At 41.8% G+C, this 23,414-nt stretch overlaps 2 long non-coding RNA genes across 2 annotated transcripts, besides 3 other annotated features; one reads left to right on the top strand and one right to left on the bottom strand.

Moving 5' to 3' along the window:
- Window positions 1,242-1,756: an enhancer, noted in NCBI's record as "OCT4-NANOG-H3K27ac-H3K4me1 hESC enhancer chr2:8018173-8018687 (GRCh37/hg19 assembly coordinates)". NCBI's record gives its function as "activates a minimal SCP1, AML or CMV promoter by ChIP-STARR-seq in primed H9 embryonic stem cells {active_cell/tissue: H9 hESC(primed)}" and the evidence as "EXISTENCE:reporter gene assay evidence [ECO:0000049][PMID:30033119]".
- Window positions 1,757-2,270: an enhancer, noted in NCBI's record as "OCT4-NANOG-H3K27ac-H3K4me1 hESC enhancer chr2:8018688-8019201 (GRCh37/hg19 assembly coordinates)". NCBI's record gives its function as "activates a minimal SCP1, AML or CMV promoter by ChIP-STARR-seq in primed H9 embryonic stem cells {active_cell/tissue: H9 hESC(primed)}" and the evidence as "EXISTENCE:reporter gene assay evidence [ECO:0000049][PMID:30033119]".
- Window positions 2,271-2,785: an enhancer, noted in NCBI's record as "OCT4-NANOG-H3K27ac hESC enhancer chr2:8019202-8019716 (GRCh37/hg19 assembly coordinates)". NCBI's record gives its function as "activates a minimal SCP1, AML or CMV promoter by ChIP-STARR-seq in naive H9 embryonic stem cells {active_cell/tissue: H9 hESC(naive)}" and the evidence as "EXISTENCE:reporter gene assay evidence [ECO:0000049][PMID:30033119]".
- On the top strand, window positions 2,662-15,468 carry LOC105373409 (uncharacterized). The gene is made up of 3 exons (XR_922752.2): window positions 2,662-4,725; window positions 6,632-6,759; window positions 14,473-15,468. It is a non-coding gene; the product is annotated as an uncharacterized LOC105373409 (long non-coding RNA).
- On the bottom strand, window positions 9,967-22,855 carry LOC101929551 (uncharacterized). Its single transcript, NR_110256.1, has 6 exons — window positions 22,806-22,855; window positions 20,809-20,982; window positions 19,265-19,372; window positions 12,686-12,759; window positions 10,975-11,009; window positions 9,967-10,262 (listed from the first exon to the last, which is right to left on the bottom strand). It is a non-coding gene; the product is annotated as an uncharacterized LOC101929551 (long non-coding RNA).
- Between the last annotated feature and the right edge of the window lie 559 nt (window positions 22,856-23,414).

Genomic DNA, 23,414 nt, shown 5'->3' on the forward strand with positions numbered 1-23,414 from the left:
CAGGCGGGAGGGAAAGAAGGAAGATTTGGGACAAGTTGCACTGGGCACAGGGACTAGGAAGGGACTGAGTGTGTAAAAGAATGCCTGGAGTCAGGCACCTCAGACCATTTGCCTATTTTATGACAAGAATTATTTAGATTTTGCAGGTTGGAAAAATTCAAAGTGCCATTTTCTGGCTATTTGGAACTACTGTCGAGTTTGTATTGGGGTCAAGCGGCATTGCAGAAGAAAATAAGGCATTTAGGTTTTAGGTCAGGTGTGAGTTGAAGAGGTTTTTAATTTTTGAGAACACAGGCTAAGGGAGAAGAAGGAGGAATGGAAGGTGGAAACTTACCCATAGTGAAGGAGGCAAGCCCAGAGAAAAGAGTAGAGACACAGAGAAGGGGTTGTGGGGGGGTGCGGTTCTTGCCCTCCAGAAAAGCAGAGAAGGGGTTGGGGCATGGAAATAAGGGATTGGGGCACAGACATAAGAGGTCAGGGTGCAGAAATAAGGGATTGGGGCACAGAGATAAGAGGTTGGGGTGTGGAAATAAGGGATTGGGGCACAGAGATAAGAGGTTGGGATGTGGTAATAAGCGATTAGGGGGTTCTTGCCCCCTAGGAAAGCGGGACTTGCTACTAAGGGTGAAGGAGAAGGGGCTGAGGGGTACTTGCCCCTGCCCCAGAAAAGCAGGACTTGCCACTAAGGGTGAAGGAGAAGGGGTTGAGGGGTACTTGCCCCTGCCCCAGAAAAGCAGGACTTGCCACTAAGGGTGAAGGAGAAGGGGTTGAGGGGTACTTGCCCCTCCCCCAGAAAAGCAGGACTTGCCACTAAGGGTGAAGGAGAAGGGGTTGAGGGGTACTTGCCCCTGCCCCAGAAAAGCAGGACTTGCCACTAAGGGTGAAGGAGAAGGGGTTGAGGGGTACTTGCCCCTCCCCCAGAAAAGCAGGACTTGCCACTAAGGGTGAAGGAGAAGGGGTTGAGGGGTACTTGCCCCTCCCCCAGAAAAGCAGGACTTGCCACTAAGGGTGAAGGAGAAGCGGTTGAGGGGTACTTGCCCCTGCCCCAGAAAAGCAGGACTTGCCACTAAGGGTGAAGGAGAAGGGGTTGAGGGGTACTTGCCCCTCTCCCAGAAAAGCAGAGAAGGGGTAGAGACAAGGAGAGAAGGGGTTGGGGTACTTGCCCTTCCCCAGAAAAGCAGGACTTGCCGCTAAGGGTGAAGGACCAAGGCAGGCGTCCCTGCGTGGTCTGACACCCTTGAAACATGAGTGTATAATCAGAGGCGTCCCTGCAATGATTAAACACCAAGGGAAGGCTGCCTTCCCAGTCCATGACCGGCGCCGGAGTTTTGGGTCCACGGATAAAACGTGTCTCCTTTGTCTCTACCAGAAAATGAAAGGAATTGAAATTAAGAGAAGGGAGAAATTGAAGTGTGGCACCAAGATTGAAAGGAGAAAGAGGTTGAGGGATAGTGAGGGAGGTTGGAGAAGAGAGTAAAAAGAGGCCGCTTGCCGGATTTGAAATTGGTGAGATGTTTCTTGGGCTGGTCACTCTGAGGACCTGAGGTCGTAGGTGGATCTTTCTCATGGAGCAAAGAACAGGAGGACAGGGGATTGATCTCCCAAGGGAGGTCCCCCGATCCGAGTCACGGCACCAAATCTCATGCGCGTCCGTATGAAGAGACCACCAAACAGGCTTTGTGTGAGTAACATGGCTGTTTATTTCACCTGGGTGCAGGCGGGCTGAGTCCGAAAAGAGTCAGTGAAGGGAGACAAGGGTGGGGCCATTTTATAGGATTTGGGTAGGTAAAGGAAAATTACAGTCAAAGGGGGTTTGTTCTCTGGCGGGCAGGAGTGGGGGTTGCAAGGTGCTCAGTGGGGGAGCTTTTTGAGCCAGGATGAGCCAGGAAAAGGACTTTCACAAGGTAATGTCATCAGTTAAGGCAAGGACCGGCCATTTACACTTCTTTTGTGGTGGAATGTCATCAGTTAAGGTGGGGCAGGGCATATTCACTTCTTTTGTGATTCTTCAGTTACTTCAAGCCATCTGGGCGTATATACGTGCAAGTCACAGAGGATGCGATGGCTTGGCTTGGGCTCAGAAGCCTGACAGCTTCCATTGTTTTTGGGATAAATCCAAGCCTCTGATATACAAGTGTCCTTTACAATCTGTCTCCTGACCACTTTCCCAGCTTTATTTCCCCTCCCCTCTACAAGGTATCTTCACTCTCACACTTCATACTTCCTGGGCTTACTGGAGTGGATGCTGTCCTATGGCCCAGATGCACTTTTAGGACCGACACATTCATTCCCCGGCTGCTGGGATTGTTGGTGGCGGACAGCGTACAGGGAAATCCTTCCCCAAGAATTGTCCCCAGCCAAAGGAAGAAACCTGCCTAGCTTAAAGCAATACCTTTTGGGGCAGGAGGCGGGGAAAGATAGGAATTGAAACTTATGAAGGCTCCGTGTGTCAAAGCCTGGTCCTTGCTCTAAGCAGGACAGTGTTGCAGGCTGCCCCACCCCCAGAGCTTCCTGTTGAGATTGGCTTGCATTGCGACTAATCATGGTTCACATGCTCCCTCTGTGCAACCTTACTCGGTGATCCCGGGGGAAATTCCTCAAGAAATGTATTTGCATGCAAATCTCCATTTCAAAGATCTGTGCCCTGGGAAACCCAGCTGAAGTCACTTAGGATTTCTATATTATTATATAGTGCACCTTTTCACTACTAGGTTTCTAGATGGCCTTTATCTGGGCTGCTCTTCTCCCACTCTGCCTGTTTTCTTTAAGGATCTTCTCAATTCTTTCCTGTTCCCTCTAGAAAGAGTTGAGCAATGCTCCTTGTGCACAGCTGCACTCTGTACATGCCGCAGGTAATCATCTGATTGCCTGCTTTTCTGCCTTTCCTAGATTACATTTCTTTAGGACAGAAACTACTTAGTTTCTTCTCTGTATCCCTTGTGCTAAGACTAATGCCTATCACAGAATAATTTTTCAATAAATATTTGCCACCTAATTAAATGAATGAATGAGCCTCCAGCTGAAAGAGTTCAAGCCTTGGGAGATAAAAGCCATGCAGCTTAGGAGGACAGAGCAGAAATCTGCTGTCTGTTTAGGCAAATAAATTCATTGACTAATCAATTGGACTTGAAGGATTCGTAAATACCTCAATAATGAGGAAGTAATGTAAATGGAGATTTAGCTTTGGTTGAGTGGGAGCATGAATTAGTGGTCCATCTTTTTAGTAGCCAGACAGGTTGAAAGTATGGTTGATTTTTATTTGAATGAATTTATTGATTCCATTATTGATTTTAATGGTGATGCCAGTCATTGTGCTAAGTTTTACATAAGGTGAAAACTAAACCTAATTAAGGCCCTGCGAGCATGAACTGAATAAACTGCAATACAAGGTTGAGTGATAAGTACCACAGGAGAAGAACATGTGAAAGTTTACAAACTGAGAGATCTCATCAGGCAAGTGACAATCCTATCCAAGGCTTAAAATAGGAACCAGGCCAGCCCTCCCTTGCAGTGCAGGATTCAGACTGAGAGTCTCTGATTGGTAAGTACTGTGCTATGTCTTGCATTAGAGGTTGTCGGATCAGCACAGTAATTCATCTCAGGTAGTGCCTGAAGAGCTAACAGGCATTGATCAAGACACTGAAAGCTCAGCTAATGAAAGGTGCTAGCCACTGGTGCAATGGAAGCTCCTGCAGAATGCTTTGCTTTGGCCAGGGTGAGCTTAGATTGAATTTGTAGGTATAGAGCTGTTTCTCAAGGACAGCTCATGGACCATGTCAACTGTATTGTTAAATCAAAATCTCTAGGAGGTTTGAGCACTAAATCTACATTTTAACAAGTTCCTGGTTATTTTATCCATACTGAGTTTAAGAATTAAGAATTTTTGGTGTGGGGACTTGGTGAATTGGAAAGCAGGAACAGCTTCTTTCTCTTCCTGGTGTGTGCGCATTCCTGAGTGTGTGTGTTCATGTGTGTGTATTTAAGAACAGTAATGGGGGCGTTGAAGAGGTTGGAAGAAAGCCATTAGAACAGCATATAATTGATTTCAAGTACTATTGTATTAAATATCAACAAAACAGCTTTAGGCTTTTGTTTGAGTTTAATGTTTGGTCTTCCTAATATAGTAGATTAATTATTTCAATAAAACAATAAAATTTCTATGAGAGGGTAAATGGCATAACAATACACTCCTTCTCAAGTGCAGAACTTGAAAACACCATTCCCAAGCAGAATATAAATGCATTTTTTGGTGTATTATTCTCTGATATTTCCTCTTTTGAATAGCAGAGAAAGAAGTATGTGTGTGGCACTGTGGTTAAATATGGAATGCAGGCTCTAAAGGATTCCTTTTCCTCTGAAAGTCTTAACAGGCGCCTCACCTTTCTCTGGTTTTCCTTCTAGTCTCATGCAAAGACTAAACAACAACAATCAACTCGATAAAATAGTGTCCATAGGCCAGCTTAGGTTAGGCTGGTTGCATGGAAAGAATGTGACTGGGAATTCATATCCTAGAGTCAAGCCAGAAACTTAATGATTAAACAAATCACTTCCTTGAACGCAGTCTTTTTCCAAGGTTCTGTTAGCCATACTCTCAGGAAGCTGTGAAGTAGGGAGATCTACGTGGGGGTCTCTTTGTACTGAGACTCATCAGCATCTCGGAAAGCAGAAGGGCCTGAATTATTGCAGGCACAAGTGGGAGGCTGGGACAGCATTTCTGACTTCCTGGTGAGTTCTAATTTTCTTCTGAAATCACAGAGCTCCAGTAACTGCGGTCTCCCACAGGTTCATTTCTTGTCAGTATTGTTTGCATGAGTAAAATATCACCACTACATCCAGCCCAAAGGACCCGGTTACTTTAGTGGGTGGATGTCACAATCCAGAGAGGAACAAAGGGGGTTTCTATCTGCTCGCTGAGTGGCAGGGCAGAGGCAAGGCAGGTGCACAGAGATGAGGTCTAAAAGACTTCCTAAAATTGTGAGGCCACCCACTTGACTTTCGCTGTGGTAGTCCTACCAGATTGCAAGACCAATGCAGGTTCCTAGTGCTCTTAGGGCAATGGGACACCAGGCTACTTCCTGGGCTGAGACAGAGAGGCAGTTCTCAAGTACAAGGCACCGAGGATGCTCACATTTATTCTTGAAGCTCTTTCTTTCCATGGCTTGTGCCTTGGTACAAAAGCTCTGTAAAAGAGCAGATCAGGGACATTTGGTACGGGTCTGTGCAGGGACTCTGACACCACCACCAGCAGTGGTCACAGGTAAGCAGGGCTGCATCAGGGTATGAAGCCCAGCCCAAACGGAGGCAGTGATAGGAGCCTTGCTGGTTTCTGTGACTTCAAGAACAGAGCTGCAGTTCTTTATATATGTGCAGTCAGAAACGAGGCTGAGTCTGGTGGGGCAGGATTGCAGGGAGTTCCATTGTGTTGGAGATGGGAAGGCAGGTGAGGGCTGATAGCTGAGCAGGACAGACAAGTGCAAGAGGAAATCAAGAGAGGGCATGAACCCTTCAGACTCCCATGGTCAGGAAAGGCTTCCCAGAGAAGAAGGCTAAATCTTGAACCCATAGGACAGGAGGGGTATCCAGAAGTAAGGGGGGCAGCCTCAGACATTTGTGTGTCTTCAACACTAGCCTGTCAGCTTCCTGAGGTCAGGGGCCATGCCTGGCCCACCTGGGATATCCCACAACCAGTGCTAGGAGGGACTGGCCAGTAGGGGTCCAGAAAGTGTCTGCTGCAGGAATAAATGAGAAATAGAAAGAGGCTGGAGGAAATTGCTAGGACATCCCTAGCCTGAAGGGTTCACCTAATTGCACTGCTTAAGCCAAGATAGACAGGCAAGGTCCACTTTCACCAGAGTCAGATCTAAACTCCTTCTGGAAAAACTGGGAACTTGGTTCACAGGCAGAGAAGTTACACCTGCTTAGTGGAAGCTGAAGAGGTCACGGTCTGCTCCAAGAAAGATGTGGGATGGAGGCCCAGGGAGAAGGGAGGAGACCCCTACTGCAAGGAGCAGGGAGGACTTGAGTGTATGGAGTGACCACTCAGGAGAAAGTCCAAAGGCTGCCACCAGGACCCCCGGGGTCCAGTGGCCACCAGACCCTCCTTGTAGATGTTCCCTTCTCAAATAATCTCTTGTCTTCCATCTCCCATTTCTAGACTTTGCAAATAAAAAGTCAAGGGATTTTAGGAGAGAGTTCACCGGACAGTTTTAAAGATAATTAGAGGCTCAGATATGACCTGCAGAAAAGATTGGGGGCAGTAAAATCTCTCCTCAAGGAGCACTAAGGAGAGAGTCAATGTATTAATAATAAATAACACTTACTCAGGCCTTACCATGAAGCAGGCTGTCATCTAAATTCTACACATCATTTCATCTCCAATGGATTTTAAAGTGGAGATGATTGTGTGTTGTGGGTTGAACTAAGCTCCCCTTGACTCTTGCAATTTGTATGTTGGAGTCCTAACCTCCAATACGTCAGAGTGTGACCATATTTGGAGATAGGGTCTCTACAGGGATGGCCAAATTCAAAGGAGGGCATCAGGATGGGCCCTAATATACTGTGACTGATGTTTCTTTGAAAAGGGGAAATTTGGAGACAGACATACACAAGGAAAATTATGTGAAAAATACAGGGAGAAGATGTCGAAGACACAGGAGAAGACAAGCCAGGGAGAGGGGCTTAGAGCAGATTCTCCCTTGCAGCCTCAGAAGGAATCAGTCCTGGTCACACCTTGATCTCAGACTTCTGGCCTCCAGAATGGTGAGACAATAATTTCTGTTATTTAAGCCACATGGTCTGGGGTACTTTGTAATAACAACTCTAGCAAATAAATACAGTGTTGAATAGTCTTATTTTACAGATGAGTAAGCTGAGGCTCAAAAGGCTAAGTAACTCATCCTCCATCACAGCAAATCAATGGCAGAATCTGGATTCAAACTTAAGTCAACTGACTGTACAGTCCATCACACATTGCAGCCCCTTGGTTGTTATGGAGACTTGAGAAGTAGATAATGACAACTGATATGTTTTGGCCATGTCCCCACCCAAATCTCATCTTGAATTCCCATGTGTTGTGGGAGGGACCCAGTGGGCGGTAATCGAATCAGGGGGCAGGTCTTTCCTGTGCTGCTCTCATGAGAGTGAATAAATCTCATGAGATCTGACAGTTTTAAAAAGGGGAGTTTCCCTGCGCAAGCTCTCTTCTCTTGTCTGCCACCATCTGAGATGTACCTTTCACCTTCCGCCATTATTGTGAGGCCTCCCCAGCCACATGGCGCAGTAAGTCCAATAAACCTTTTTTTTTTTTTTTTTTCCAATTGCCCAGTCTTGGGTATGCCTTTATCAGCAGAGTGAAAATGGACTAATACAAAAACCTAGGTGAATCTGCATGAAGTCTTAACGAGGAGACCAGTGAACACCCTTAGATGGAGGTGAACTATGAGGGAGGAGAAACTCCATGCATATGGATTGTCAAACATCAGCACTAGGGAAGTTGCAAAATTCGCACCCTTTCAAATAAAAGTTACAAAATGAGATAAACAAATGAAACACTGTCACATCTTGCAGAAAGAGAGGGGGATGAATAGGATGGTCTCCTCTAGGGGCCATTCAGCTCTGGCTTGTCCTGGCCTAGCAAAGAGCAAGGGGGCCTGGGAAGTGACATCTGGAAGCCAGGAGCCTGGGGGTGGGGAGGGAACTCGGGGGGGAATCTCCTCCATTACCCAGCCTGGGGCCTTGCCACATACTTACAGGAAGAGGCTCGACTCTGTCGCAGGCCAGTGAATACCATCCAGGAAGCCTAAGGGCTTGATTTTGTTGTTTTTTCCTTGATTCCTAATCTTGGTTTCTTATTCTGTGCTTTATAATACTTTTATCTATAATAATTACAGATTAATACGGTAATTAGAGTCTTTAAGTTACCTTTATTTTATATTTTTCATAGCAACAATACCAATAAGAATTGTTGTTTTCTAATTCTATTATTCACCTATTAGCTGGCTTTCTTTGCTAAAGAACTTCTTCCCCTCCACACTTTTTATTTTTCTGCCCTGTCTGTCTTATTAATATTTTGAATATTGCTATGGGCTCATGCATTTTTATGCATTCAATATGTCAATTACCATCGTCTTCCTTTTTCAAGCTCCAGTGTCCCAAGTTAGGACATCCAGAGCCCTTCCCTCCAGTTTCAATGTCCTTTGACATCATCCCCTTAGACACTGAGTGCTCTGAGAGCCCCCTTGCTTTCTGGCTTTGAGGAACACACAGTCTTCAGCACAATTACTCAGGCCTGCATTGCAGCACGGAAGAAGACATAGGAAAAGTCTAGCTGAATGGCCGTGGCTGTGTTATTATAAAACTTTATTCACCAGAAGAGCCTTGGCCCTTGGCATGGTTCACCACTCTTGCTCTAAACAAGTCCTCATCCAGTATCTTTTCTCCTTTTGTTGTGAATCATGTTTTGGTGCCATGAGAAAGGGATGCTACCATGAAATCACAGTGCATTCAGACTGCCCCCAACCACGTCACTAGTTTTCCAGCAGTACACTTGGTTATATCTAACAGCAGAATAGCAGGATGTTATGAAAAGAACACAATATTCAGAGAAGGCCTGGGGTTAAGGCCCTACAAGGTCATCCTCCAGGTGTGTGATCTGGACACACCTTGCTACCTTGCAGAGAGGGTGGGAAGTTTGAATTAGAAAAGTGGCTTGTGCATTACACAGAGAGACGATCATGTTCTGCCAGTTCTTATCATCGCTACCATGTTGGTGATGGGGCTAAGCAAAACAGAAGACTAGACAGGAAAAGTCATGTTCAGAAATATGACTTTTTATAGTGGAGATGATTGTGTGTGTGGGTTGAACTAAGCTCCTCTCAACCCTTGCAATTTGTATGTTGGACTCCTAAGATATAAATTACAGTTCTCCCACTGAGAATAGAGAATTTATCCTCTCTCTCTCTGTGTGTGTGTGTGTGTGTGTGTGTGTGTGTGTGTGTGTGTGTGTGTCCTGTTCTTCAATGTCCAATAATTGTGTCCAGGGAAAATAGAGAAGTACAAATGTCAGACTCTCAAAAAATAACAGAGTAAGGGTTCTAGGTTGTAAATGCCTCAGTTCAAATCTTGGCATTAGTGCTTGCTTCTGGGTAAAATTGAGTATATTTCTCATTCTCTCCTTGCCTTCAGATTTCTCATCCATATTCTGAATATTAAAAGCACCTATTTTATAACTTTGTAGTAAAGGAAATATCCACATAAAGCATGTAGCAGAGTGTAAATCCTCATCCCTCTTCTAAAAGAGGCAGTTTGGGCATAGGGTGGCAGGAAGAAGGGAGAGGTTCTTTACGGAGTGTGTGATCCGCATGAGATGGCATGCCGAGTGCCATCTTTGCATGGCTTTATTTTTACTTTTAAAGATGAGAAAGCTAAAATGGAATGTCTAAAAGAGTATACAGGTCCTAAAGCCACACAGCCAGGGTGATGGAAATATGATATGATTCAAATCCAGACTCAGCGGCCCTAAATACTGTGCTTCAATCTTTAAAACCCAAAATACATGTGGACCAATGTTTGGAGCAACAAGAGGCTGTGCCTTTCTACATTGTCTAACTTTAGGGAGAGAAGCCTTCAAGACACGGAGAGACCTGGCCCCATGGAGAGAAAGAGCGATTCACACCTAGGAAGGTATAGTGTAGCCAGCAGTGCTCAGGAGACAGCACCAGATTTTTGCTGGTGAGAGACTTTTGATTCCTTTTCCCTTTGGGGCTCAAAGCTTTGATAAATACAAACACTCAGGACTAGACATCATTGCCTGTGGTAGTTCCATGTTTTATATTCACCTAAACATTATACTAGCTTCAAGCCTCTATTATTTGGTTGGAAAGGCAAATCTGGATTTAGTAAAAGACAAGTCAAACCCTTATATTCACTTTTGGTCATTTGCGCATCAGTGAAAACAATGAATAGAACTTCTAATGGTAAAACCCTTCGATGAAGCACAAATATTTATTCTGGGCTGAGTCATATCTCAGGAAAGCAGGCCTGTCATATCTGAAAACTGCCCCTGCCCAACTGTGAGTTCCAGGATTGCATCCACTTCATTCTTGAGCAATTAAGGGCAAAGACTATCTGCCCTGACTGTGGCCTCTTTCCATAGTCCTCAGCACTTAGAGGGGCTCAGCAGATCTTTATGGAATGATGAAATGATTTCCTAGTCACTGTGGTTTGATTATCCTTCAGCAGCAGGTCATTAGGGTTACAAATATCTAAAAGGACAAGATTGAATGGACAGTCTTTAGCACTATTATATTCCTAAAATTTCTATTTTTCATTATTACTATTCGTAACCATTTTTAAAAGTACAAATGAGACTCAAATGACAGTCAAATGCCTGCTACTTAATAATTTCTTCTTAGAGCCCACGATTGCTCCAGAAGGCTCTAAGATAATTAATGTACCCACTTGGCCATTTCTCCTTCAGCCTCCTCCTTATCCCAGGCCCATCTCCTCCCTACCATCACCTCCCTGCAGGCCAGTGTAGCACGAGCACACAGAACACAGCACGTGGCACATAGAACACAGCACACAGCACACACTATTCAGCAGAAGCTTCCCTGACTGTTCCTTCCAGACACCAGTTAGGGGCTGAATCTCCACTGCCAGGGAGGAGCAACCAATTACTGTGGAAATGAGCAGACTCAGTGGCTTCTCTGAGAAAACCTTTATAGTTATGAACAAGACAATGGCAATTACATAACGTTGGTCGCTTTTAATCAGTCTTGTTTGTGTGAAAGAAACCCTGAAATAGTTGAGCTGTGACAGCTTCTGGCAGGCAGTAGGCTACATGGCTTTCCAATAGCTATTTGGTTAATTAAAAGCGTTTCAGGCATTTCTTCATCTCCTCTAAATAGCTTAGGTCACTAAGAGGAGGGATTAGGCCACTCCAGTTCCATTTCGCACCACATCTTTCCGACTTACGTTACAGACCGCTTAGATACTGTAGGCCAACCAATCTTCAGGAAGGTTCAAAATCAGAGGGAGAAAAATGCACAGAGAAGCTAGTTTAGGAAATCAGATAATTAACTTTAAATCCTAACACCAGTTGAATTAGAAAAGACAAGACACGTATTTAAAATTTTTTAAAGTTAACCCATTTCAAAGGCACTCTTGTAGATGTCAGGAACATCACTGGTTTCCTTTGTTCCAAGGGGTAAGGAGATATTCGTGTTGACAGAACCTTGAGCATTGCTGAGCACAGAGCATCTCAGATTTATCAGAAGTACAGCCAGTGATCAGAGCTCCCTGTGTGTGGAGGCCATACTGATTTTGATTGGCACAAATGATTCCTCATTATTGTGGTAGTCAATAAGAAAAATGTTAAACATAATAAAACTCAAATAATCTTACATTTTTAGTACAAATGAGATTATAGTCCTCCTTTTAGTTGCTTATCATTTTTTAGCAAAACAACAAGTTGTCTTATTTACCTTTCAAATAATTAAAAAAATTTCAGTCTGCATTGAATGAGAATACTTCAAAATTATGGCTCATCAAATCATTCATTAGTCCTTGTAGATTGATTTACTGCCTACCCTCAATGTGTCAGGTACTAGCCTATTAGGTTGGTGCAAAATAATTGCGGTTTTTGCCAAAGGTAAAACTGCAATCACTTTTGCACCAACCTAATAGAAGAAAAGAAGGCTACAAAATATAGTTTTACAACATCCCTGCCCACAAGGACTCCATAAGCTAGTCAGGAACCCAATAATTTTACCAGGTGTTGATTGCTTCCTATTTGTGGGAAGCAGAGGAAATAGACTGACAGCTGTCTATTGTTCTTAAGCAAGATAAAATATACCAATGTCTTGGCATCCCTTTAAGAGGGTAATTAATACCAGCTAGCTGCTGTAACAACTACCATATCTGCATGGCTTAACACAGTAAAGGTTTATTTATTTTCACTCAAAGTCCCTACAGGTCAAGTGGCTCTCCTCCATTGTGTAGCCACAGCATCTGGAAAATCTGGAATCCAAGGGTTCAGTGGTAGAACAAAAAGATGGTAGAGGAAGTACAGGCCTGAAAGTGATATACATCATTTCCCCTCTCATTCCACTGAACAGAACAGAGTTATACGGCCCCAACCTAACTGCAAGGAAGACTAGGAAACGTACTTTTTCTGAGACCCCAGGAAAAGTCACAATATAGAGAACACAAGGTTGCCCCTCCTGCAGTCTATTGCAAAAGACCAGACACCTGCAAAGATAGAGGAGGTGATGCAATGCTTACAAAGATCCCATTTAACAAGGTATTTGCTTGTAACTCGTGCTTCTTTATTTTCTGTTCTATTTTTTGATAAAAGATTTGAGCCTCACCTTCCCTTACTTAAAATACGTGGAGTTGCTCCTGTATTCCTGACCAAATCCTGATATAATAATTAGGAACATGGATTTTCATGTCCAAGAGACAAGAGTTGACATAGCAGCTCTCCTACAAGGGTGGAAATGTTAATCCTACTTATCTCATAGGGCTGTTCTGACAAATAAGGAATAAAAGTACACTGTAGACTGTACAAAATCAAAAGAAAATAAATATTCCATCTAATGAAAAACTACCGTTTCCGAAGGTTATTTCTTCTCCATAGCTTTAATAAAATGACCTTTTAAAAGACCCTTTCATATGAGGTTGATACCTCCGAGAACTTTATCTTTCCGTAGAGGTCTTTGAAACTTCTGTTCCACATTCGTTCCTTTGTTTTGTCCAAACCTGTAAAGGAAGAGACATACGGCCCGAGGCTGCATGAGCTCCCCAAGACCATCCCTCAGCACAGCTTGGTGAGCCCAAGAAGGCAATAGGATCTGATTGCAGAGGAGCCCAGTTAGAACCCCTTTCCTTGTTTGGTGTAAAATGAGATTTCCTGAATTTAACATCCTGTAACTTTGGTTTATACAGCTGAGACTTCTTATTAACGTCTGAGATTGGTTTGCGTCCTGGACACAGGCTGCATACCATTACAGAGGGATTTATTTGACTCCTCTGAGAAGGACTCCATTTTGTCCTCCAAAAGCATTGCTTTTCTCAGGTTTATCCAGGAAAGCATGGGTGGCCCTTACATAATCTGGAAATTAATTGTTGACTGTGGAAAGAAGGGGTCGTAGGAAATTCCTAAATTCTAACCTGAGCGCCAAGTCCCAGATTCCTTACGTTATTCTTAAATATCCCTTGCAACCTCCCCTCCACCCCGACACATGCTTTTTGTCCATTTGTTTGTCTTTGAGCCTTATGTACATAAAACCAATGTATTCTTTGGAAAATGAGTGCGAAGACTTTGTGTTTTTAAATTTAAATTAATGGTCTTGTGCAGCAAGTACAGTGGGCATATAACTGATTTTCCGGGGAATGTTGAGAGTGAAATGGGCACCTAGTAATATTCACTCTGCGATAACAGTCAAAAACTGGGACTATCCTTGCCAAACTAAGACTTGTGTTCACCCTAAACATAAAATAAAAGTCTTTTAAAAAATTTTGATACAATGTTACATTTTTTCAATTTTTACATATTCAGGTCATTGAATAGCATCTCATATTACATATATGTCATGATGTCTACCTTATACGAAGCTATAATAAATGACCTCATGTGCTTTTCAAAACTAGTATCCTTCTCATTGCTTGTGAACTTGAGTTTCTTTTACATATTTATTAATCACTAATGTTTCAAGGCCTATAAATTGACTATTCATAATCATTGCCCATTTTTCTGTTGTGTTTCCCTTTCCTTCCTGATTTACGTGAGCTCCTATGAATTCTAGATGTGAATTTTTTTGAAAATTTAAGATTTTATAACTGTTTTTCATTAGTATCCCTTCTTCCATGTTTGTCTCTGACATTCTTGGTTAAATATATATTTTTAATTTAGAGGTAATTATATTTACAGCTATCCCTTATTTACATTTAAGTTTTCCTTTTTGGTTTGTGCTTTTGAAATCCTACTGAATGTCTTCCCTCATCTCAATGATGTACTTCCTCATTTTCATAAGCTTTAAATCTTTACATTTTACATTTAGGCTTTTTTTTCCATTTGGAGTTGATTTTTGAGGTGTTGTGAGTTGGGAATCTACCTTTAATTGTAAAACTTTAGACCCAGGTTTCCCAATACATTTGCTAAACCTCTGTGCTTTCACTACTTCACTACACATCAAGTTTGCAGGTTTCTCCATCTGTTCCTGGCTTGTATGTCAATTTCTGTTCTAAAATACTATTTGTTCGACAAATGTTTGGAAGCATGTCGTCTTATCTGGTAGGGCTATTCCCCCATCTCTTTTCTTCATTTCCAAAGTTTCTTAACTATTGAATGTATTTTGAATTGATTTTCCAATTTGCCAAAACCTGCTACTGAAGAAATTGCTTAGAATTGTATTGAATTGATGAATGGATTTTAGCAAAACTGATTATTCATAAAATTAACTCATCCAACAGGTAGCAGCAGCAAAAATGGCAAAATGAGGACTTTTGAGAATTCCTTTCTCTATGGAAACAAAACCCTGGGGGAAAATGGTCTGAATCAACCTTTTCAGAACTCTGGAAATTAGCCCGAGACTTGAAGCAATTCAGGTTGCATTTGTATAAGAAAAGTGACAGAATCTCAGTAAGAACAGCAAGCTTTGAAGGATTTGAACTTGCCCAGTTGCCTTCCTTCTTTCTCCATCTCTGCAGGGGACTTAAAACCAACATCCCACACTCATAATGAAAACCTGGCAGGAGGCAGAACAGGATTGGAGCTGCTTCAAAGCCTTAGGTCCAGAGAACTCATCACCTATGCAGATCCTCAATAAGACTCAAAGCTGATTCCGCCTCAGAAACCATGGAGACCCAAAGCCAAATTCAAAGTGCTGAAAGTTAACTCATCCAATCAGTCAACTCTTGTACAGACCTCCTTTTTTTTTGTTCTTGGAGTTTGTTTTATTCTAATAAAGGTGTTTTATATTGTTGTTGTATTATTCTTAAATACCATATTTTAGTTGCTATTATAAATGGTACTTCTATTGCCGTTTTGTCTAACATTTTCTGGTGGTCAAATTTCTAGCTAGTGTGGAAGAACACTGATGGTTTTTACTTATTGATTTTCTCTCTGGCAATCTCACTAAACCTTATGATAAGTAATAAACCTTATGATAGTAGAAAAGGTTGATATGATATGATAGTAGTAATCCTCTGGATTACCCATCCCCTCTTGATAATCTCTGTTGAAATAATCACATTATGTGCAACTAATGACAATGTCACTGCTCTTATAGTCTCTATGTGCATTTCTTTTTCTTGTCTTACTGCTTTGACTCATTCAGTTGACTGCCATTCACAGAACAGATGTGGAACGGTTGTTTTCGTTATCATGTGCCTAAAAAGAATGTGATTAAAATTTGCCAGTTCAATATAATATTGGATGTAGGGTTTTAATAAATAACTTTCAACAAACTGCAAGAGTCATCTTCCCTTTCTAGTATTCTAATGGCACTGGTTTTTTAAAAATAATAAATTGGTATTGAAGTTGTCTTATGCTTTTTTCTGTATCCATTTCCATTAAGATAATTATTTGGATTTTTTCTACTTTTCATTATATGATATATTGAATAATTATATTTTCTGAGGCTGAACTCTCCTTGAATCTCTGTTACAAATGCTGCTTGTCATGAGATACTATTTTTCATGCTGTCGTTAAATTAGTAAATTAATTTTTATTTAGGATCTTAAATCTACATATGTAAGTAAAACTGATTTTTTTGTTCTTATAATATCTTTGTCTAATTTTAGAATCAATCTTATAAAGTGTGAAGCCTCACGAAGTGTTTTGAGATGACTTCACTTTTTATATTATATGGGACAAGTTCCATCAGATACGGATTACCTGTTTCCTGGAAGTTTAAAATTACATAGCTACCTATAGAAAATTATATCGTTAATATTTCATTTTCTTTCATGGTTACTAGTCTGTACATATATACACATATTTATATGTGTATATATACATATATACAAATAAATTTGTATTGAGCATACATATATATATACACACATATATACCGAATTTGGCTTCTCAGAAATCCATCTATTATCAATGAGATTTCCATTTTATTGGCAGACAGTTTTTACAGTGTTACTATACGTTAAGTTTAGTAATTTGCTTAATTTACTATCATTTTCCAATTTTCATAGTCCATTTTATTTATTACCATCTTCTCTCTAACTTTGGGATCATTTTTATCAGAAATCTAGCTGACATTTCAGTATTTCCATTTCATGGGCTGAAGGATTTGTTAATTATCTGGTGTGTGTTTTTGTGTGCTTTTTTTTTAAAGCAAAGATTTTTTGACTTGTACGAAAGTAAGATATAGACAAACTAGATGCTAAAAGAAAATATGCAAATAAATACTCACTATGAAAAGTGAAAAATAATAGGAAACATTCTAATATATAATGACAATATTTCCTTCCTTTCATTTCTTGCCTTTGGAACTTTTTTAAATTTTTATTTTTTTTTTTAGACGGAGTCTCGCTCTGTCACCCAGGCTGGAGTGCAATGGCCCGATATTGGCTCACTGAAACCTCCGCTTACCAGGTTCAAGTGATTATTTTGCCTCAGCCTCCCAAGTAGCTTGTAATACAGGCATGTGCCACCACACCTGGCTAATTTTTTAATTTTTAGTAGAGATGGGATATCGCCATGTTGGCCAGGCTGGTCTCAAATTCTGGGCCTCAGGTGATCTTCCCGCCTTGGCCTCCCAAGGTGCTGGGATTATAAGCATGAGCCCCCATGCCTGACCCCTTTGGAACTTTATTAAATTAATGTTAGTACTTCTATCTTCCATATCTTTTAACTTTTTTCTCAATCATCATATTACTTTATTGCTTTTGAATGTATGCTGGAAGACATTATTTAAATTCAACTTACAAATTGATTCTTCAGCTATATCTATTATCTATTCATCTGTAAAAATCCATTCATTAAGCTCTTTATTTCATCAGTTTCATTTGTCATGCCCAAAGACTTCATGTATGCTTGTTCTTGCTTTCAATATCTTTTTTATTCTGAGAATATGTGTATATGTGTATATATATATACACACACACACACACATTTAGAGCTCAGAAAAACGACACTCCAAAAAGAAGGCCGCTGAGCAGTGAAAGTTTTTCTCTTTCTCCTGACCTTCTGTCTCTCAGTCTTTAGCCAGCCATAGAAATGAAAATCTCTCTTTCCCAAGGTGGGTCATAGAAACCAAAGTCCCACTGTCCCTAAGCCAATCATAAAACCTGGAAATATTACATAAGTGTTGTCTCTGCTTTTTTGTGTAAAAACTGGCCATAGAGAAATTATCTGACCTACCTTGTTTGACTGTAGATCATAAGACCCCTAATATGGTTTGACTCTGTGTCCCCACCCAAATCTCTCCTTGCATTGTAATAATCCCCTCATGTCAAGGGCAGGACCAGATGGAGATAATTGAATCATGGGGTCAGTTTCCTCCATGCTATTCTCATGATAGTGAGTGATTTCCCACGAGATATGATGGTTTTATAAGGGGCTTCCCCTTTCTCTCAGGACTCATTCTCTCTCCTGCCACCCTGTGAAGAGGTGCCTTCTGCCATGATTGTAAGTTTCCTGAGGCCTCCCCAGCCATGTGGAACTCTGAGTCAATTAAACCTCTTTATAAGTTACCCAGTCTCAGCTATTTCTTCATAGCCGTGTGAGAATGGGCTAATACCACCCCATTCCAGAGAGGGTCCTGCCCAATACTCAGAAGGAAAGAATGCAGGCTCAGAGAGGCTAAGAAGAGTCCAGATAGGGCTTGCTGGGTGTCCCCACTCTGCCTATTAGCATTAGATCATATACTTTTGGTCCAATCATATTTCTATACAGCTGTTCATACTTTGTTGAACCTAAGCATAAAAACAAATTTCCTCTATATCTTTGCATCTTCATTCTGAAGGCTACTGTGTATATACATTAAGTAAATTTGTATGTCTTATCTCCAATTAACCTGCATTTTGCAAGATGATTTTTCAGTGAACCTTCAGAAGACAATATACATATTTTATATTCTTATTCTATATCATTCTGTTAGTTTTGATTCCTCAAGTATTGATATTTCTGTTTATTCGATGGTTCTCATAATGCTTTGGCCAGAGGGATTTCTTGTGAGATCATCTTTTATTCTCATGGGACTACTAGCTGCTTTGTTTACAATGTGTGCTGGATGATGGAGTAAAAGCATGCCTTTAGTTTATTTTCCTTCAGGAAAATTTGGGGCTGTTCCAGGGAACAGAGTTCCCTGTGTTACATTCTAGGGTCTGGACTCTCCTTACTGCCTTCTCCCCACCATAGAACTTTCTAGGATTTCCTTTCCAGGCGCTGCTCTGTCCCCATGGTTATCAACCTCTCTGTCATTACATGTCCCACTTGGTGGAGGTGGGGCTCAGGGGCTCTGTCAGGCTGGCCAAGTCTGCTGTACCATTTGCTGAGGACTCCACCCATGCTGTGGTCTAGTTCCAAATTAACATCACCCACCCACCTTGGGCGAGACAGGGCTGACCCATGTTTTATTCTTACTCTGTTGATGTTAAAGCACTGACAGAGATCCATTCAGGGAAGCAGGAGAATAAAAGCAAAACTAAACAACCAATGCAAAACAAGTCCACGCCTCCCTGGCTGTGGGTGATGATTCTCTCTGGCTCCAGGCTGCTATCCAGTTCCTCTTCTACCTTCTGCTGCAGCCATGGGCACTCAATGATCTTCTCTCCTGCTAAGGGCTCCCTACAATCTTTATGTCAGGTTTATAAGATTCTGATGTCATTGACCTCCATGTATCATGAACGGCCTCTTAAGAATAGAGTAAAGACACCCATATCTTAAGTATCTCTTCTACAACCTCTAGTGCACTATTTAAAATTCTTAAAAGAATCCAGGATACAAGATGCAGGTGGTGATGGTCAGAATGAAGGGCCTGGAATAGAGATTCCTAAAAAGAGGTCACATGAGGAACATTTGGAGGGATTGGTGAGCTGGCAGCCATATCAACCCAAGGCCCACTCTTCCTGCCATGGTTGGTGGGACTCAGTGTTTAGAGAACAGCTGGTACAGGCTTGAATTCTTAGATCACATGCTGGTCACATTGCATGGCTTTGCTGAAGGTGAAAACTTGCTTTCAATATTAAAACTAGACAGCGTAATCATTGACAGACAGCAGTGAGATATCTGGTGGAGTTAAGATACCTTGGGAATAGATGGCTGCGTTTGGAATTTATTTGATGTGCATATGCAGTCTGTCATCTTTCCAGCCAATCCCATATTGCTGTCTTGCCTCTTCATTATCTCCCCAACCTGAGAGATTAAAGAGAAGCATTTTGTTTGTCAGCTCAGAAGTAAGCACTGTCCATTACCTGATAAGACTGAAGCAGGGTTTAACAAGCCAATTTGAACCAAATAGAAAATGTCCTATCATGCTATCAGCTGGTCTCTTTGTTTGCGCATACTGTCCCTGTGTTCTTGATAATCTGGTAAAACCCAGGGAAACTTAGTATATATGGATTAGTCAGAAATGAATGCTCACTTTGGAAGCCTGCTAGAAGAGGTCAATGCATTTCTCTACAGGAAGTGCCTAGATTTATAACCTACAGGATTGAGGACAGTGAAAATAAGAAAGGCATTTCATGTAAATTAGAAAATATCTCCAGAATCTTCTGATTCTATCTCAAGTGAGAAGCCAAGTCCAAAAAGGCTGGAGACCAATTTCTAATTATCATCTTTGTATTTGTATAAGCTTTGACATTTTGGGGAGGATAAAAGTATGTATGTGCCTATGAATATCCAGATGTTAACTCCTCTGAATGAACAAAGACAGGGCTTCTCCCATCAGCTGGGAAATTCAGTAGGTGAAGTAGAACTTAGTAGAGCCTGTGTTTAGAGCCTTAGGGGATGTTTAAGAACTCTACTACTGGCTGGGTGCGGTGGCTCATGCCTGTAATCCCAGCACTTTGGGAGGCCGAGGCTGGCAGATCTTGATGTCAGGAGTTCGAGACCAGCCTGACCAACATGGTGAAACCCCATCACTACTAAAAGTACAAAAATTAGCCGGGCCTGGTGGCGTGTGCCTGTAATCCCAGCTACTCAGGAGGCTGAGGCAGGAGAATCCATCTACTCAGGAGGCTGAGACAGGAGAATCCCTTGAACCCGGGAGGTGGAGGTTGCAGTGAGCTGAGATCGTGCCACTGCACTCCAGCCTGGGTGACAGGGCAAGACTCTATCTCAAAAAAAAAAAAAAAAAGGGAAGTACTCTACTACTTCATAATGTGCAAGATCTGCACTTGCCTTCTGTCCATGAAGAAAGGGACAGAGAACTAATGGTCACCGAGACATGCACGTGTGATCAGCACTGTGGTGAGTGCTTTGCACACATTTTCACAACTAACTACCTAAGAATTTTGTGAGGTGTTTTATACCTTCCATAACCTGTAGATGAAGAACTGAGACTCCCAGATGCATTTGACTGCCCACAGTACTAAGAAGCATTGTGTGCATGTTGCTAAAGACATACAAGACATTATTTTCTCTCTTTACCTACAAAATCTCCACTGAGCTTTCTTGGTGACAAGTCTGAGGTACAGCACGTAGGTAAACACTGACTTAATGTGTCTCAACTGTTAAGGAAGACATAAAGGTAAATGGCAGTGATTAGCCATTGTCACCATGCTGTTTGCCCTCGTGCTGAAATTGTGTGTAGCAGACAGGCTCTGAGTGGCTCTATTTCTCATACATACTTTTGTCTTTAATGTGGGTGCTCAAATGTGGCAGAACAGCTGTAGAGTGACGTGATCAGCCAAATGGTCCACTGCGGATAGAAGCGAAAGACTGTAAGACAGGTCAGGAACACAGAACTATTGGTCGTCCCTTCCAAGTGCGGCATTGGTCTTGGCTTCTGATCCAGGTTGAACCTAGATTTAAAGAAAAATTTAACCATATTGGTTTGTTAATTAGGAATCTCAGATACAGCCATTGTTGTCCACTGAGGTCCTCAGCAACAGAAAACATTGAAGAAAGAGGCGGAGAGTGAAGAGAAAGAGAGAAAGGAGGAGAAGGAGAAAGAGGCAGAGAGAAAAGGAAAGGAAGGAAGCAAAGAAGAAAAGAGGAAGCGAGGAAGGAAGGAAGAAAGGAAGGAGAAAGAAAAGAAAGAAGAAAGAGAAAGGAGAGAAGGAAGGGAGGGAGGGAGGAAGAAAAAGAGAGAGAAAGAATGAATAAAGGGAGGGAAAGAGAGAGAGACGAAAAGAGGGGCAAGTCACTCTTCATCTCTGTGTGTATATAGATACATCTTTGCCCTCGTAGAATTTACTGCCTCAGGAAATTTTCAATAAAATGTTAAGATTCAAATGGTAGATAAATGAGGCAAATATGAAAGGTCCCTTTATACACGGGAGAAAATTCAATAAATTTAAAAACAAAAAATTTTCTTGGCCAATAATCTAATAAATAATAGATTTAAAACCATCTTGTGATACTAGGCATAGATAGAAAAATTTGCATGCACACGTGTATGTGCACGTGAACACACAGAGACCCCCCCACTCTGATATTGGTGAGACTGGGCTGAATTTAGCATGCACCAGCTCCTGAGAGCACTTTCCAGTCCAATAGCATAACAAGAAACCAGAGCCTTCTTTGATTGTTGTTGCTCTTTTCCTGTGACCAGGTGATCCCATCATTTGGAATTTTACCTAACGAGAAATTTAACAGAAGCAAAAGTCTATTCAAGCACATTTCTTGTATCTAAAATAATACAAATTCCCCATCAATAATTGGTTAATTACTGTATGTAAAAAATGCTAGATTTTTCAACAACCAAGAAAATGTTGGTACATTTAAAGACTACATGGAACTGCTGGGCATAGTGGCTCATGCCTGTAATTCCAGTCCTTTGGGAGGCTGGGGCAGGTGGATCACTTGAGGCCAGGAGTTCAAGACCAGCCTGGCCATCATGGCAAAACCCCATCTCTATTAAAAATACAAACAACAAACAAACAAACAAACAAAACCGCATGTGGTGGCTGGCGCCTGTAGTCCCAGCTACTCAGGAGGCTGAGGCACAAAAATCTCTTGAACCCGGCAGGTGTAGGTTACAGTGAGCCGAGACTGCATCACTGCACTCCAGCGTGGGCAACAGAGCAAGACTCTGCTTCAAAAAAAAAAAGAAAAAGAAAAAGAAAGACTTTTAAAATGCCCAATCATATATGTTTTATTGATACCTAATGCACTTATGAAATTGCCTAGCTACTGCAAAATACATAAGCTTTTAAACATACCTGCTGTAGAAAAGAGTTCTTATGATATAGAACATGCCTTGAGGTTAATTTTGAAATTTGAAAGAGCATAATTTGCATATTATAGCCCGAAGAAAATAACAGAATTCTCTACCTCACACTCTTTCCTTCCTCCTGCTCCTACTCATACACCCTTCTTTCACCACCGCATCTCCCCTCCCAATAAAATCTAAGCCATGTGACTTTTTTCAACATCTGCTTCCTTTCTTTTCTTTCACAGAAAGCACGCATGAATAATCAGACCGCACTGCTGCTGTTAATTGTAAAAATCATTAGTAAACTTCCAGGTGCTGTTTACTATATAAGCATTGTAATTTTCTATCCTAAAATCAGCAACTCCCCCACATCATTGTCTGCCCCAGGGCATGAGCACTGTGCAGCTTTGAGGTTGTCAAAGGCAGTTGCAGCCCCATTTACTGGGACTGAAAGAGATCGATCCACACCTGCAGCGTTTGAGGCAATAATTCCTGATATTAACCAGACCTCATGAGGAGAGGGCCCTTTTGCCAGCCTCCTCATGATTCAACACTCTCCAATCCATGTGGAATCATTGAATATGCTGTGATTGGCTGATACCCACCACGTCCATTCTTCCCCTTTCTGCCATCACTCCACCTATTGTCCAAAGATTCTGGAAAGAAACCTGTAGAGAAGAGAAAGCCAGTTTAGATGCCATTTGTCTCTAACTTGTAAGCCCGGCATGCCTGAATTTTTGCAATTGCAAATAAAGTGCAGAGGAAGAACAAACTCAAGAAACCTCCAGGGCCCAAACTGCAAGATGCAGGAAGAATCCTGGAGATTCTTCCTGGAGATTAACTGAGAGAAGAGATCATAGCACAGAGAGGAAGTAACTTGCCCAATGCCATACAAACACTGCCTAACGCTTTGGTTACACAAAACAGATTACAACTTCCATCTGTTTCCTTGAAGGCACCTGTGGTTTTCCTCAAGAAATTCAAGATAAAAGAAAACAAAGCTTGAGTTTACATTTTCCCAGGTACTACAATGGCATCCCTGGGTACACCTGCTGTTCTTTCTCTGGGGCTCCCAAT

This window comes from Homo sapiens, chromosome 2 (genome assembly GCF_000001405.40).
Source record: "Homo sapiens chromosome 2, GRCh38.p14 Primary Assembly".
Classification (NCBI taxonomy): Eukaryota; Metazoa; Chordata; class Mammalia; order Primates; family Hominidae; genus Homo; species Homo sapiens.